Below are 13,990 nucleotides of genomic sequence, written 5' to 3' on the forward strand. Positions count from 1 at the left end.
TGTAAAACAACACAGGTAAAGTACCTGCTTGTACTCACATGACAGCCCTTTGAGTATTTTTCAATATCCCTCATACTCCTCCTTAGTTTTCTCTTTTATGGAGTAAATGTGTCTAGCTCCTCCACTATTATCACCCCTGGGAAATGTTTAATTTATAAATGACTCTCATTTACCAAGGAATATTTTGACCAATGCAGAGTAGTGTCTTTTTATTTAGACCAAAGTCAGCAAACTGTACCCCCTAGCCAAAGCTATTGCCACCTGCTTTGTACAGCCTACAAACTGAGAATGGTTTTTGCTTTTTGGTAGGGAGCAGTGGGAGCGAGTTATATTTTTAAACGGTTTTTAAAAATCAAAAGATATTTCATGATATGTGAAAATTATCTGAAATTTGAATTTGTTTCCATAAATAAAGTATGCACATTCCTTCGCCTCTTTTCTCTGGCTGTTATCCCACTACAGCAACAGGACTGAGCAATTGTGACAATATGGTACATAAAGGCTTAAATATTTTCTATCTGGCCCTTGCAGAGAAAGTTCTGACCCCTGCTCTAGATACTTCAATAATTCATCCTAAGATGTATTGCTTTTTGGAAAAAAGCATCCATATTATTCTGTTGATTCATTACGAGTTTTCAGTTAACTAACAGCCCTGGATCTTCCTTATAAAAATATTTTTAAATGAGGTGTTTCTCATTATGGACTGTGTGTTTATTTTTTGAATCTAAGTGTGTGATCTTATGTTTCCTCTTATTAATTTCAAATCATTTGTGTTCATATCTTGTTCCAACCTGAAGATGTCTTTTGAAATGTTGTCTCTTGAAGAGCAGGTTGGCTGACCCTATAACTTTGTGTCATGCTAAATTTCATAAGCATGTCATCATTCTAGCTGTTGATAGAAATGTTGACTAAAAAAGCCAAGAGTCAAGGATTAGGTCTTTCCAAATGCCATGGGATTCTTTCTGTCCACTTGTAAATCATCTTCTAATCTATTGTTTAGTGAGCTCTGAATCCATTTCATTGTCCTAAAACTCACCCTACATTTCTTTGTCTATTTGCAAGGAATTGACAGTATCACATGATTTTGACAAATGGTTTGCTAAAATCAAGATTACTCTTCTGAACTGTAAGATTTAACAAATGAATCCATGTTGGTTCTCATGGTTCCTACTTCCTTTGCTTAGCATCCATAAGCCAAAAATAGATTGTTGAATTTTTTTAAGGAATAAGATTATAAGATGCCCCAAGTCGATCTTGACTCCATTGCTTCAAACACGGACTCAGGTCTTCTCCAAGGAGTCTTGATTATTTTAAATAATAATTAGCAGTAGAGACTGAAATCTTGGTGCTTGGATGCACATTATCTTACTTTATATGAGAACTAGAAATACAGTAGAGTAACACTGGGACTTGTAGCTACTTTAATGACAAAACAGAAAAAAATGGGGTTTTTTGTTGTTGTTGTTTGGTTGGTTGGTTGGTTTCTGAGGAGTCTCATCTGTCACCCAGGCTGGAGTGCAATGACGCGATCTCAGCCCACAGCAACCTCTGCCTCCTGGGTTCAAGCGATTCTCCTGCCTCAGCCTCCAGAGTAGCTGGGATTACAGGCACCCACCACCAAACCCAGCTAATTTTTGTATTTTTAGTAGAGACGGGGTTTCACCATGTTGGCAAAAAATGTTTTTTTAAAGGTCGTGAATTTATGCTGTTGATTTTAATTTACCTTGATCTTCACTAAGTATCTTTATCTTGCTCTGATATGACAGTTTACTAATACATTTGTCCACTCTTTTGTTGAGCTACCAGTAATTTTAATGTTGCCCTTAAATTTTGAGGTCTTTTCTTTCATTCTCTTTCATTCTTTCTTCTTCTTTCTTTCTTTATTTCTCTCTCTCTCTTTCTTTCTTTGTTTTTTTTGACCCTTGAATCAAACATTGTGGACTAGACTCTAAACTTTGCTTTCCAAACACTCATTTCCCCGTCAGGAAGTTTGAAAAAAAGGCAACTGTTTGAAAAAAGACATCTCAAGCTCTTCAGGGGAATACTGAAGAATATACCCATGGCTACATAATTTGCGGTGTTCAGTGCACAGTGAAAATGCTGGCACACTTGTTAAAAAATGATTAAGAATTTTAAGACAGCAATAGTAAAGCCGTAAACTAAACATGGGGCCCTATGTGACTGCATAGGTAGCCCGGACATGCTAGTCCTGGGGACAGGACATCTAGAATCTCAGATAGTATCCATGCATTTAGTTGACCTCAACCATGAAAAGAGAAATGCCAGCGTATGTGTATTTTTGAATTGCAATCTAAAGTTTTCCTTTAACTCTTAATCCCTATGGGCTGTAGTGTCTTTATTTATCTTTTATCTAAGAGAGCTTTAATACTGAACTTCAGTCTCTTAAGAGGCTTTAGATAAAATCATATATTTAATAGTCAGTAATTAACCCATCTTTTTGGAAGCTGATTAAGAATGTCAGAAAATATAACCAAGCATTTTCAGAAAAAAAAAAAAGTGACATGTTGAGATATAGAAGGTGTTCGTTTTACAAGTCCATCAGACACTGGATGAAGGTGTGGCCCCTGGCAGCCTGCCCTGTGCATTCAGCAAAAGAGACACTTCTACTCCCTCCTGGGGAAGGCTCCGTCCTGCCCACTCCCAGGCCATTCTGTGGCTACTCTCATGAAGGGCTATCAGTCTTCAGAGGAGGCAGGTCAGGGGAGTTGGGCCACTCTCCATCTGTGTTGGGGCAGGCTCACCAGACTTCTGCTTTCTGAGAAGCTCCTCCTCTGGGTCTGGATCCTTCCTCTCTGAGTTCCTGCCCCTCCTTCCTCTGTCACAGCCCACCTGCCTGGAAGCTGACAGGTGCAGAGTCCTCCCCAGGTCTCTGGCTTCACACCCATCTCTCTTACTGCGTCTCTGTCTCTTCCAGCCTGGCCAGGTCCAGGTGAGTGGCTGGACCCCCACCAGAGCCAGTACTCCCTCAGAAACCACAGGTGTCTTAGCCTTAAGACAATATTTTAAAGCGACCCATAAGGAAACTATTTTCTGAGACTTCTAAACTCTAAGACTCCATGTGTGATAGCCCTTTCCTTTTGTCTCTCTTGACACTAGTCCAGCAAAACTGTCTTCTCCCAAACAAAACTGTGCCTGAAACCCAGAATTTAGTTATTTAGCATTTAAGTTAATTTGTCCCAAGATCATTTCAATTCACTCCATTTAATTTTCCACTTAGAAATCACTTTTTCCATGGCTTCTGAACACCATTTACAAAAAAGAAAAAAGAAAACTCCATTTTCACAAATCATAAAGCTCCAAGGTCACAATTACCATTTTCGGAAAGTTTTTTCTCTAAAAGCAAAGATTAATTTTCACATGTTAAAACAGTTACAGTTAAGTAGTACAGACAGCTAACTGCTACAGTTAAGTAGCACCCGTCTCCTTCTCTTTTTCTTAGTGGTTTCACAAGAGACAGTGTCAATAACAGCTAATGCTATCTCTGCTGCACGCATCCCTGCACATCTGCAGCCTCGAGAGCCATTGTCTCCGAGCGGCAAGTCGCAGACTGTCAGCAGGGACTCGAAGGAGTCCTTGGAAGATCCTGCTCTCCAACTTTATCATCCCAAGTGTCCAGATTACACCCTCTAGTGAAACCCTAGACCAGGATGACCCAAACTTTGGGCTCTCCTCTTGTGGCTTTTTAACCCCTTTGGGGCTTCCCAGGTGACCCACCTGGTGATACAATACCCTACAAATCTCAAACCTTGATCTATTTTCCAGGCCACCTAACCTCCCTTCAACATCCTGGTGCCCCTTCCCAAACCTAACTGTGGTGGAAAGAGGTGTCTTTTCACCAATCCCAAGTCTAGGTTCCAGATTGATCACTATGCACAAATATATATCCTCTCTGAAGTTCAATTAAATTCCCAATTTGATTGTCCAACAAGTCAAGTCCTTTTGCTAGTAAAGTGACCACACAGGACAAGGACAGATGCCATCCATGTGTCTCAGCTTAGCATTTGGCTTTAGAAGGGCTTCCCAGCTGCCAGTGATGCTGCCCACACAAATGAGGCTCTTGCCAGATCTGAGAAGTTTAATTCTTGCTATTACACTGTCCTATTATGCTTGGGAATTTACATCAACATGCAGGAAGAATTTACCAACCTTTGCAGAAATGTGTACTAACATCTGGCTCTCTAAGTTCTTGAGTCAAACATGGGACCAATAAGCCCACACCTCCAGCTGTGGGAGAAAAGAAAGATTTGGGCTAAGTATTCCCGAACAATGTTTCTGCCTCCAGATTTCCAGTGTTCAGAAAATCCCCTTACCTATGTTTTCTCGATATGCATTTCATACATATATTTCATATATATATATGCATATATATATGAATGTGTGTAAATATGTATGATCCTATTTTCTTATCCCAAAGTTGTAACATCTTTTCTTACCTCTCTACAACTAAGATATTAATTTTTATGTATGTATATATGTACTTGTTATATACACTTCATCTGATAAATATACATCATTGATGATATATATATATATATATATATATATAAAGAGTTAAAAAATATATTTTCCACCACATAGTCTCTGTTTCTTCCAATTTGCTTCTTTCTGTTTTTTTGGTTGCAACTCTGTTGTTCAGTTTGTAGGATTTCCTCAGTGTCCAGTAATCCTTGGCTGTCTGCATACATAAGAGCAGGGTTTTAAAAACCGATTGAAAGTTGTGAGCGAACAGTGGGGCTTGCCAACCTCGAGTTTCACTTAGGGTAGTCCAGATGGGCTTTTTAAGTGAGGGACCCTTAATTTCAGTGTCTTTAAGTCTTTACTCTCAGTCTGGTCAGATTCTCCAGTGGAGACATTCCATTTCCTGCCTGGCTGTGAGCTTAGCTACTTCAGATTTTCAGTTTGGAAGCCTGAGTCTCAATGGAGTCTGGGCTCCTCCATGCAGAGGCAGACTACTTACCCTTTTAAGATAATAATAAACCCTCAGTCTTTTGCTAGGGATGGGGAGAGGCACCTGCCTAGCTGTATAGAGAAAGGAATTTCAACAACTACTAAAACAGGCTTTCAATCAGTGCTCCTTATTTTAGTTCCCCTCTTTCACCCCCACTTCCAGAGGTAACTTGTACTGCCAATTCTGAGCCTTCTGAGGATTTTGTAGTTTAGGTCAAGTTATTCCTCTACTTCTAGTCTAAGAGTTTAGTTTTCTTGCATTTGTTAAGTAATGTATCACTCAACCGTCTGGTTCTTAACTTCCAAAATTGTGCTGCTATTGTCTCCTTTCATATGCTCCCCCATTCTTGTCTGTTTAGGCCTTTAGGAGGATTGTTTTGCTAGGATTCAGGAGGTAGTTAAAGCAGATCCATGTGTTTAATCCGCCATCTTTACCCATGATAGTTCAAAGCAACATACTCATTAAGGTGGCAAATGATTGAGACAGAGACAAGTGAAGTAGTAACCACCTTTGGGTCATAATGAACCACAAAATAAATATGAATCCACCAAATGATGCTGTTGAATTAACAGTGAAAAATGAAACTAGAATATAATTATTAAAATATCACAGGAAATTACTCTTCTGATATTTTTGCCCTTTAGGAGAGAACTATATTTAATTTTGGTTTCCACATTTAGGAGACATTTATGGAAAAGCCCTGAAATAATGGAACCAAAAGGAGATTTACAAAATAGATTGTGAAGCCTATGAGTAAAAGTTATTTAACCTGAATGCTAATATGTAACAATATGACTGATTTCCCAAGGGAAATACTCATTAACTGCTCTCTGTTTCCATAATGGGGTAGCAAAATAAAATAAATTGAAGTTATACCAAGAAAATGGATAATTAGACATTTCCATGGGCATTAGGAGGAGAAGAATTTCTGTCTTTGAAATATTTACAAATTTTGTCTGTGAAATAGAAGATAGACATGGGCCAGATGACATGTGTGTGTTCCTTCCTTCTCTAAAATACGTAGTTTATCATCATATTAATATTAATGTCTGTATTATATTAAGGAGCCCATTCTCCAAGGAAGCCAAGCCTTGGTCTCATTTGTTAGAGTGACTGCTGTGGCTTTGCCTTGGCAGATGGAAAATGTGTGTTTGGTTTATGCATGCTTATATCGGAACTCTTCAATTCCTGCCTCATTAGAAAGCATAGCCAAAAACATTTTAATTGACTGAAGATCCCTGAAAACAGAGGAAAAGCAATTAAGAATAAAGGCCTTTACAATTCATCTGGATGCTCTGAAACATATTATTGTAAATTATAGAGCATTAGGGTAGGGTTCAGAAGAGGTAATTACCCTTATGCTAAATGACTGTTTCTGAGTGTATTTCAAAGCCAGATAATTTACAGCTAGAAGTAGTGAAAATAATTATCTGTTTTGCTAAAAATATTAAAAACCACCAAAGTACTTCTAAACTCAATTCATATATTAAAGAGGAAAAATTAGTACTGTGAATATTTGTGTTTCGACATTGAAGGTATTTAAACAGACATGTTTCAAATTAAGAAAAATTGTGACCGGTCTCAGTGGCTCACGCCTGTAATCCCAGCACTTTGAGAGGCTGAGGTGGGTGGATCACGAGGTCAGGAGATCGAGACCATTCTGGCTGACACGGTGAAACCCTGTCTCTACTAAAGATACAAAAAAAAATTAGCCGGGCATGGTGGTGGGCGCCTGTAGTCCCAGCTACTCGGGAGGCTGAGGCAGGAGAATGGCGTGAACCCGGGAGACGGAGGTTGCAGTGAGCTGAGATCACGCCACTGCACTCCAGCCTGGGTGACAGAGTGAGACTCTATCTCAAAAAAGAAAAAAGAAAGAAAAATTGTACTGAAACACATCTCTTCTTTGAGGTGCAGAACAGCAAATATTCAAACTGTGATTATTGAATTTCATATTTATTGTAATGCCCCAAGTTCATAATTTGATGTAATAAAGATATTATATGTACATTCAGTATGATGATTTGTAAAACTAAAACTATATATTAATTACCTATTTGTTTTATCTATTAATTACTAGAATAAGATATAGTAATATCAACCACACATCCCAGGTAGATAGTGAGGTAGTGATACTCGAGGGCAGGTGATTTCATATCACTCCTTGGGACCAGCATCCATTAGATCCCTGTTGGCCTCCCATTCATCCTTCAGTCTGCAGCCAGAGATTCTAGTCCTGTGCGGGTTGTGGTATATTTCCATTCTGCATGCTTTGTGACATGAGAATGTGAATGTAGGTGATTACTTTTCGGATAATGTCAGCTAATGCTCTATAGCTATTGGGGCTTTTCTCTTAATAATTCTATATGAAAAAACAATTGTTTTTCTTTCTTAACCAGTATGGGCCTACATTGTTTTTAAATGATTGTTTTAATTGAAAACTCATGGGAAAACAGATTTTCCTCAGAAGTAATTTACTCTTTATTTAAAAATTTACATAAAATAAAAGATACATATCTGTTTAAGTATGCCTTTGCAATTCAACTAAATCAACTAAACTGAATGAAAAGACTGGAGAACATGGAAGTAACTCTTTACAAGACCTATATCATTTGGGCTTTGTGTTTTCTAACTGACGGCTATCGTTTCTACTGCGTTGTTGTCTGTCATTTGGTCTTTACTTACAAAATAAATACTAATTTCCTCAGTAAAAAAAACTTTTCTGGAAGATTTGTCTGCACCAAACCCAGACTAAAGTTTTTAAATTGAATATTTATTTCTTACTACACAAAAGTGTCTTTGAAAAATTGTGTGTAAATTATTTTAAAATAAAACCATTTAAATTACTAAGAGATTTTTGAAGAAGTTATGCAAAAAGAAAAAGAAAAAACAATGCGATTAACTTCTTGTCATGGCAAGGATAGAGCCTCCTCAGGTTTTCTGTTTGAAATCTAGTTGTTCATATATTAGATTTTTTAAATGTGAGGTATACTAAATATAAACAAACCAAGCAATTTTAAGAAAGACTCCAGTGATAGATTGTATTTATAATGGCCTTGGAATGAGTTAATGATTTTACCAAAATTAATTTCATATAGTAGTAAAATATTCGATATGCTTTTTTTAGTTATCTGTTGCTGCATAAGAAAATACCTCCAAACTTTAGTGGCTTAAAACATTTATCTTACATTTCACATTATAAATGTTTATTATCTCACATTTTTTATGGGTCAGGGACTTGAAGTGTTGCTTAATTGTATGGATCTGGCTCAGGATCTCTAATGAAGTTGCAGTCAGGATGTCATTCAGAGCTGCAGTCATTTGAAGGCTTGACTAGGGCTGGATGATCTGCTTCCAAGTTCATGTGCGTGGCCACTGGCAGGTAGCATCAGTTCTTCCCCACATGGGCCTCTCCACAGGACTTCTTGGGTGACCTCACTCCATGTCAACTGCCTTCCTCCAATGAGTGATCTAAGAGAGAAAGCAACTAGGAAGCCACGATGTCTTTTATGACCTCATCTCTCTAGTTGCCCACTGTTAATTCAGCCTTTTTCTTTTCACTAGAAATGAAAAGTCTAGCCCCCATTCAAAACTAGGAGAATTAAACTCCAACTTTGGAAGACAGTGTCAAAGAATTCATGAATATATTTTAAATCACCACACATACGTTCACAACATTCCTGGAAAGTGCCTTAAAGTTATTATGAAATCATTTTTTAATGTGAACCTAAACTCTCTCCACATGCCATTACCAGAGGTTAGATTCCATGCTAGTGTTCTGTCCACTAGATTGTTACATCTCAGAAGCACTGAAAATTCTCAGACTTTCTGAGTGACACAGCTGGTCTGCATCTATACACAAACAACTTTGCAATCGATATTATTTGTCTAATCAAAAAACTCAGCAGTCAGACCAGTTGGTAAATTAGATGTGCTTAAATTAAAAACTAAATCTTTTTGTTTGTTTGATTTCATGTATTTTGAAATTTTTTGACATAAAATATTTCTGTTCTATGATATATTATTTTTTCTTCTATACATGAAGAGAGGATGGCTGTATTCCTATCCCAGCTCAAGCTGCCAGCAGCAATGTTGGCTGCCCAAGCTTATGGGAGACCTGGGCCACCAGGGAAGGATGGGTTGCCTGGGCCACCAGGAGACCCTGGACCCCAAGGTAAGTCTTCAAGTGTAATATTGGCTTATTGATTTTTAACTCTCTGTATTTATAACATGTTAGTCACAGTTAAGGAAAAAAGTATGTATGTATGTCCTTTATTTATACATTACATATATAAATATATGCAATATATAAAATGGTTTCATATGTAATCTCTTTATAATATTTGACATTCTAGAAGTAGATGTTTAACTATTACTACTTCAAATTTAAAACCAAATGAGAGTTACCTGGTATTCTAAATGTATTGTAAAAATAATATTTATTATAACAATAACAGCAATAATGTGTGCTTATATATCATTATTATCTAGGAATCTTAGAATTTTTTAGGCTTCCCCTTTTGGTGTAAGTTAAGCAAGTCTCCATCATCTGAGTGTCTTAAATAAACTGGAGAAAGAGTTTTAGGTGACTCAACGACAAATAGTTATTTGGTTCTAAAATATATTTTTAAGAAATTTTAGAATCTTTCTGCTTTGAATACAGCTTGTGGATGGTAACTTGAATGTTAAAGAATTTTTCACATGATTTCTAAAGTTCTTAAAACCCAACTTATATTGGCAAAGAATTTTGTTCCACTTATGACAACTTGACGAGAGACATAATCTTAAGTATAGCTTAACTAAATTAATCTGACAAGGCCATTTGCTAGAAATATGATTAGCAATCCAGCAAAGTGGCCAAATAGGCCCAGGCTTAGAAGAGTCAACAACTCTGAAAGGGAAATATTAAATTCAGTGAATATATATCATGAAAGATAAGACCAGGAAAACTGCTTCTTATTGTTAACCATGGAGGATCTCAGGTTCCTTCCTTGAAATAATCAAAAGCAACTTGTATAAAGAAAGAAAAGTGGAAATTAACACTAAAATTAAATAAGAATGCAGTCCAAAATAATATATATGCAAAGAAGTGTTTTTCTGTCACCAGTTTCCTTCCTACTGCTATTCTGTAATATTGAGCCTCATTTTCTGAAGTGTCCCAAGGTGACTGATGTGCCCTTCCTCTTCTGAAAGAGCAACATCTGTTCAGTTCCCAATAGCAGTGCCTGTTAGTATATATATCTTAATATAACCTTATAACCTATGACCATGATTGCCAAGTCTTTGCGTTTAATTAGCACAATATAAAACAGGAACAGTTAAAATCTCTCTAGTTTTTTTTAAACGATACATATATTCCACCATTATCTTTAGATTATAGTGAAGTTTGGCAGATTGATGAAGGAAAGAGAAAAGTATAGGATGAGAAGTAGCCCTCTATGTATACACTATTGTGTAGAGGGGGCTAATTATTATCTTTCGCTGGTTGGGTCTATTCTGAAGTCAGAGTATATGAGACTGGCATGCAGATCTCAAAAGCTTATCTGAAAATGTGTAATGCCTCAAGCCACGTGAAGAATAAGCAGCGTTAACACCAATAGGAAGAAAACTTTGGATAGATCCTTCAAACAGTGGTGGTTTGAGAAGACAAGAACAATGGAAAATTGAGATGATCAAGGAAAACAGCTCTGGAACTGGGGTCTCCTGTTCCACTCAAACACCTGGCTTCAGACACCTCACAGGTGCTGCGAAGGCCCATTTGGAAGGCTGTCAGTCAGAGGCAATTCTAAACCCACAGTGTCAGTGAAGCTTTTGGAAACAAGCCTTCTGTTCACCACTCCACTTGCCCTTCCTTTTGCAAAGGATTTCTATGGATTTCATCTGCTCTTGTGCCTCAAAGATATTATAGACTACTTCTACTCCTGATAGGGCTTCTGGATGCAATTCTTAAACTTGGAAGATATCCCCACATGATTTCCAGTTTTTTTGTGAACCAAGGTTTACTAAAATTGTCAAAACTTTTGTCTCCCCATTGGGTTTCTGACAACAGACATATCTTGACTACAACTTAGTATATGTCTCCTTAACCTTTACATAATACTTTCTTTTCAGTATTTGTTAAATTTGCCTAAAATTTAGCAAAAAATAAATAAAAATTGCAAAACATAGAATTCATTTTTAAGGAATATGTGTTTCTTAAAAATATTTGTTTTTAAGGAATATCAGTACAGTAGGCATGCTGTACTGATAATCCTGCCTAAAGGCACAGAGAAATCTCACTGAAAAGAAAGAAAATGAGAGGCTGCTGTTTAATTTTTGGTGCCTCTAGAGAAGTGCACAGGAAATTGAAGTGTTTTTCTCTAGTACATAAATAGGTGTGACATGCTCAGAAGATGAAGTTATACATGTAACTTATAAGCTTTGCTCTGCTCAATTTAAGTGTTTTTTTCCAAAAAGGAAAGAAAAAAATGCATTTAAAATCACCAGTGACCACGCAAACCTCGGATGCTGTTGTCTGAATTAGTCCTCTTAATGACACAGCATGACTGAGTTTAAGAAAGGGTTGAAGTCAGAAATGCAACATAGGTTGGGAAGAAAAGATGGCTTCTGAATGTGACACAGTGTGTTCTGCCACTCATTCATCCTGTCTGATGGTGGCTCCTCTGAAATTTCTAGATGAGACATTTTGTTTTGTTTTGTTTTGTTTTCAGTGTTTGTCAGGAAAGAAATCCATTTGGTTCTGAAATACATTTTTAAGAAATTTTAGAACCTTTCTGCTAATAGAGCTTGTGGATGGTAACTTTTGAACTTTAAATAATTTTTCTTATGTTTTCTAAAGTTTTTAAAACCAAAAGTTGCTTATATTGGCAAAAAACTTTGTTCCACTTAGGACAATTTGACGATATATATCATCTTAAATATTGCTTAACTAAATTAATCTGAAATGTAAAATTAAAATTAAATGGTTGGTTTGAAATGTGCACTATGGAATGAGTCCTTTATTATCTTTAGGAAAGGACAAAAGTATAAAGGGGTTTCATAAGGTTTCCTGTGCTTATTCTGAGAAGCCGGAGACGTATAGAAAGCAGTGAGAAAATCGACGTCAGACTGTGAGAGGTACACAATTCATATTGAAAAAAGGAAGAGCCGCTCCTACCAAGATTCTGATCATGAAAGCTTGAGGATCCGCCTTCAGCACCCTGACCTTCTTAAAGTGAAAAGAAAGACCTTTTGGATTCTGAGTTGCATCACTTCATTTGCAGTTTTTCTAATGTTTCCAAAGGGGTGATTGTCGATGTCTTTTTTAAATTGAAAACATTTCCAGACAGCTTTTAGATTTTAGCCGTCCCATGGGGTTCTGAGTATTGGCTTCCTGCTGTGCCTTGAGAGAACTTTCCTTGGTGTCCATTCCCACCTGGGGCTTGCAGCACAGGGCCTCATGGCTGGTTCTCCCGGGTATGAGCTAAAATGTGCCACATCAGAATAAAAGAAACCCCAAGAAGCATGATTCAGCTGAGTTCCCCTATATAAACAGGAGAGGCAAATTTTCCTAACAGACGTTATTCTTTCGAGTGAGTTTTATGAGAAAACACTTCATTTAAACTTCTTCTCAAACACAGCTGATTCTCCATCACCTATTCCACCCGAGGAATAGATACCACACCTAAAGCCCTACTCATTTCAGAAGGAAACTCACATGTGGGGTCAGTAGGAAAAAACAGCTACATCCATCGCATGCACCCTGCATCAGTTCCAAAAGGACAGTAGTGGGAATAGTTGTTCTTACTTGTGCACTTTTAAAGTAATTGATCATACATACTGTTTGTAGGAAGCACTTGTGATGTATAGATTTGACCTTTCAAATTTAGTAGCATTAGGGGCATTTGGATATGGGAGGACATGTGTGTGTGTGTCAAAATGACTGAAGGGCACTGCTATCAATTGGTGGAGTAGAACCAGGGAGGCTAAACAACTTGTAAGGCACGAGGCAACCCCTAACCCCACCCCCACCATGCCCACCGTAAACAACTATCCCTCCTAAAATGCCAATAGCATCCATTTACTGGCCTTTTTCCGGTATGTATACAGGCGCACAGATTTACAACTTTAGAAGTAAATCTCTGGAGTCAAAACTGAAATCTTCCTACTGGAAATAAACACAGTCTACCACCTGAAAAACTACACCAAGCACCAGGTTTCATCAATGACTAGTACCTCTAGATGCTTTCAATTAGGACACTGCTGGTGTTTTATTTGTTTTCCTACATGAGCTGCAGTTTTATCAAGCTGTCATCCTGTAGAATTTTTTTTTTTTGAGCCGGATTTTCACTCTTGTTGCCTAGGCTGGAGTGCAATGGCCATAATCTTGGCTCACTGCAACCTCCGCCTCCTGGGTTCAAGCAATTCTCCTGCCTCAGCCTCCCAAGTAGCTGGGATTACAGGTGCCCACCACCATGCCCAGCTAATTTTTGTATTTTTAGTAGAGATAGGGTTTCACCATGTTGGCCAGGCTGGTCTTGAACTCCTGACCTCAGGTGATCCACCCATCTTGGCCTCCCAAAGTCCTGGGATTGCAGGTGTGAGCCACTGTGCCTTGCCCATCCTGTAGACTTATCGTATATGGAAATACATGTCTCTTTGCAGATAGACCAGCCTCTTCCAAATTTAAAGACAGGTCCACGCTGAAGAGGTGAAAAGCTTAATTCTATAAATGGGGAAAGCTGTTATTGACCTTGTTAGCATTCCTACAAGGAGTTTTGTTATGAAGTAATGATAAAAAAGAAAAAAAACCCTACGGCTTTATGGCAGCCTTCATAATGAATGAGCTTGGGACCTTAATAGGAAATTCAAGAGTAGAAAGTACTTGTGCAATTCAGTCGCTTTATCTATTAATAACAGGTAATTATTAACCTAATGAACTGAGAAATTTGTACATGGAAATTGTTACATTTGACAGGAGAAGGGTAAATGTTACCTTATGCAAATACACGAATCACAGTTTCTTAATTTGTAATACCACATGAA

The 13,990-nt window shown here is 37.6% G+C and overlaps 1 protein-coding gene across 7 annotated transcripts in view; it reads left to right on the forward strand.

Moving 5' to 3' along the window:
* Positions 1-13,990, forward strand: part of COL19A1 (collagen type XIX alpha 1 chain) — a 345,913-nt gene that overhangs the window by 324,041 nt on the left and 7,882 nt on the right. For all 7 annotated transcript variants that reach the window (NM_001858.6, XM_047418188.1, XM_011535437.3 and 4 more), the window contains one exon: positions 9,012-9,140. In NM_001858.6, the coding sequence (NP_001849.2) occupies positions 9,012-9,140 (129 nt within the window). The remainder of the gene's footprint in view (positions 1-9,011; positions 9,141-13,990) is intronic.

Source organism: Homo sapiens, chromosome 6 (assembly GCF_000001405.40).
Source record: "Homo sapiens chromosome 6, GRCh38.p14 Primary Assembly".
In the NCBI taxonomy this organism is placed as follows: Eukaryota; Metazoa; Chordata; class Mammalia; order Primates; family Hominidae; genus Homo; species Homo sapiens.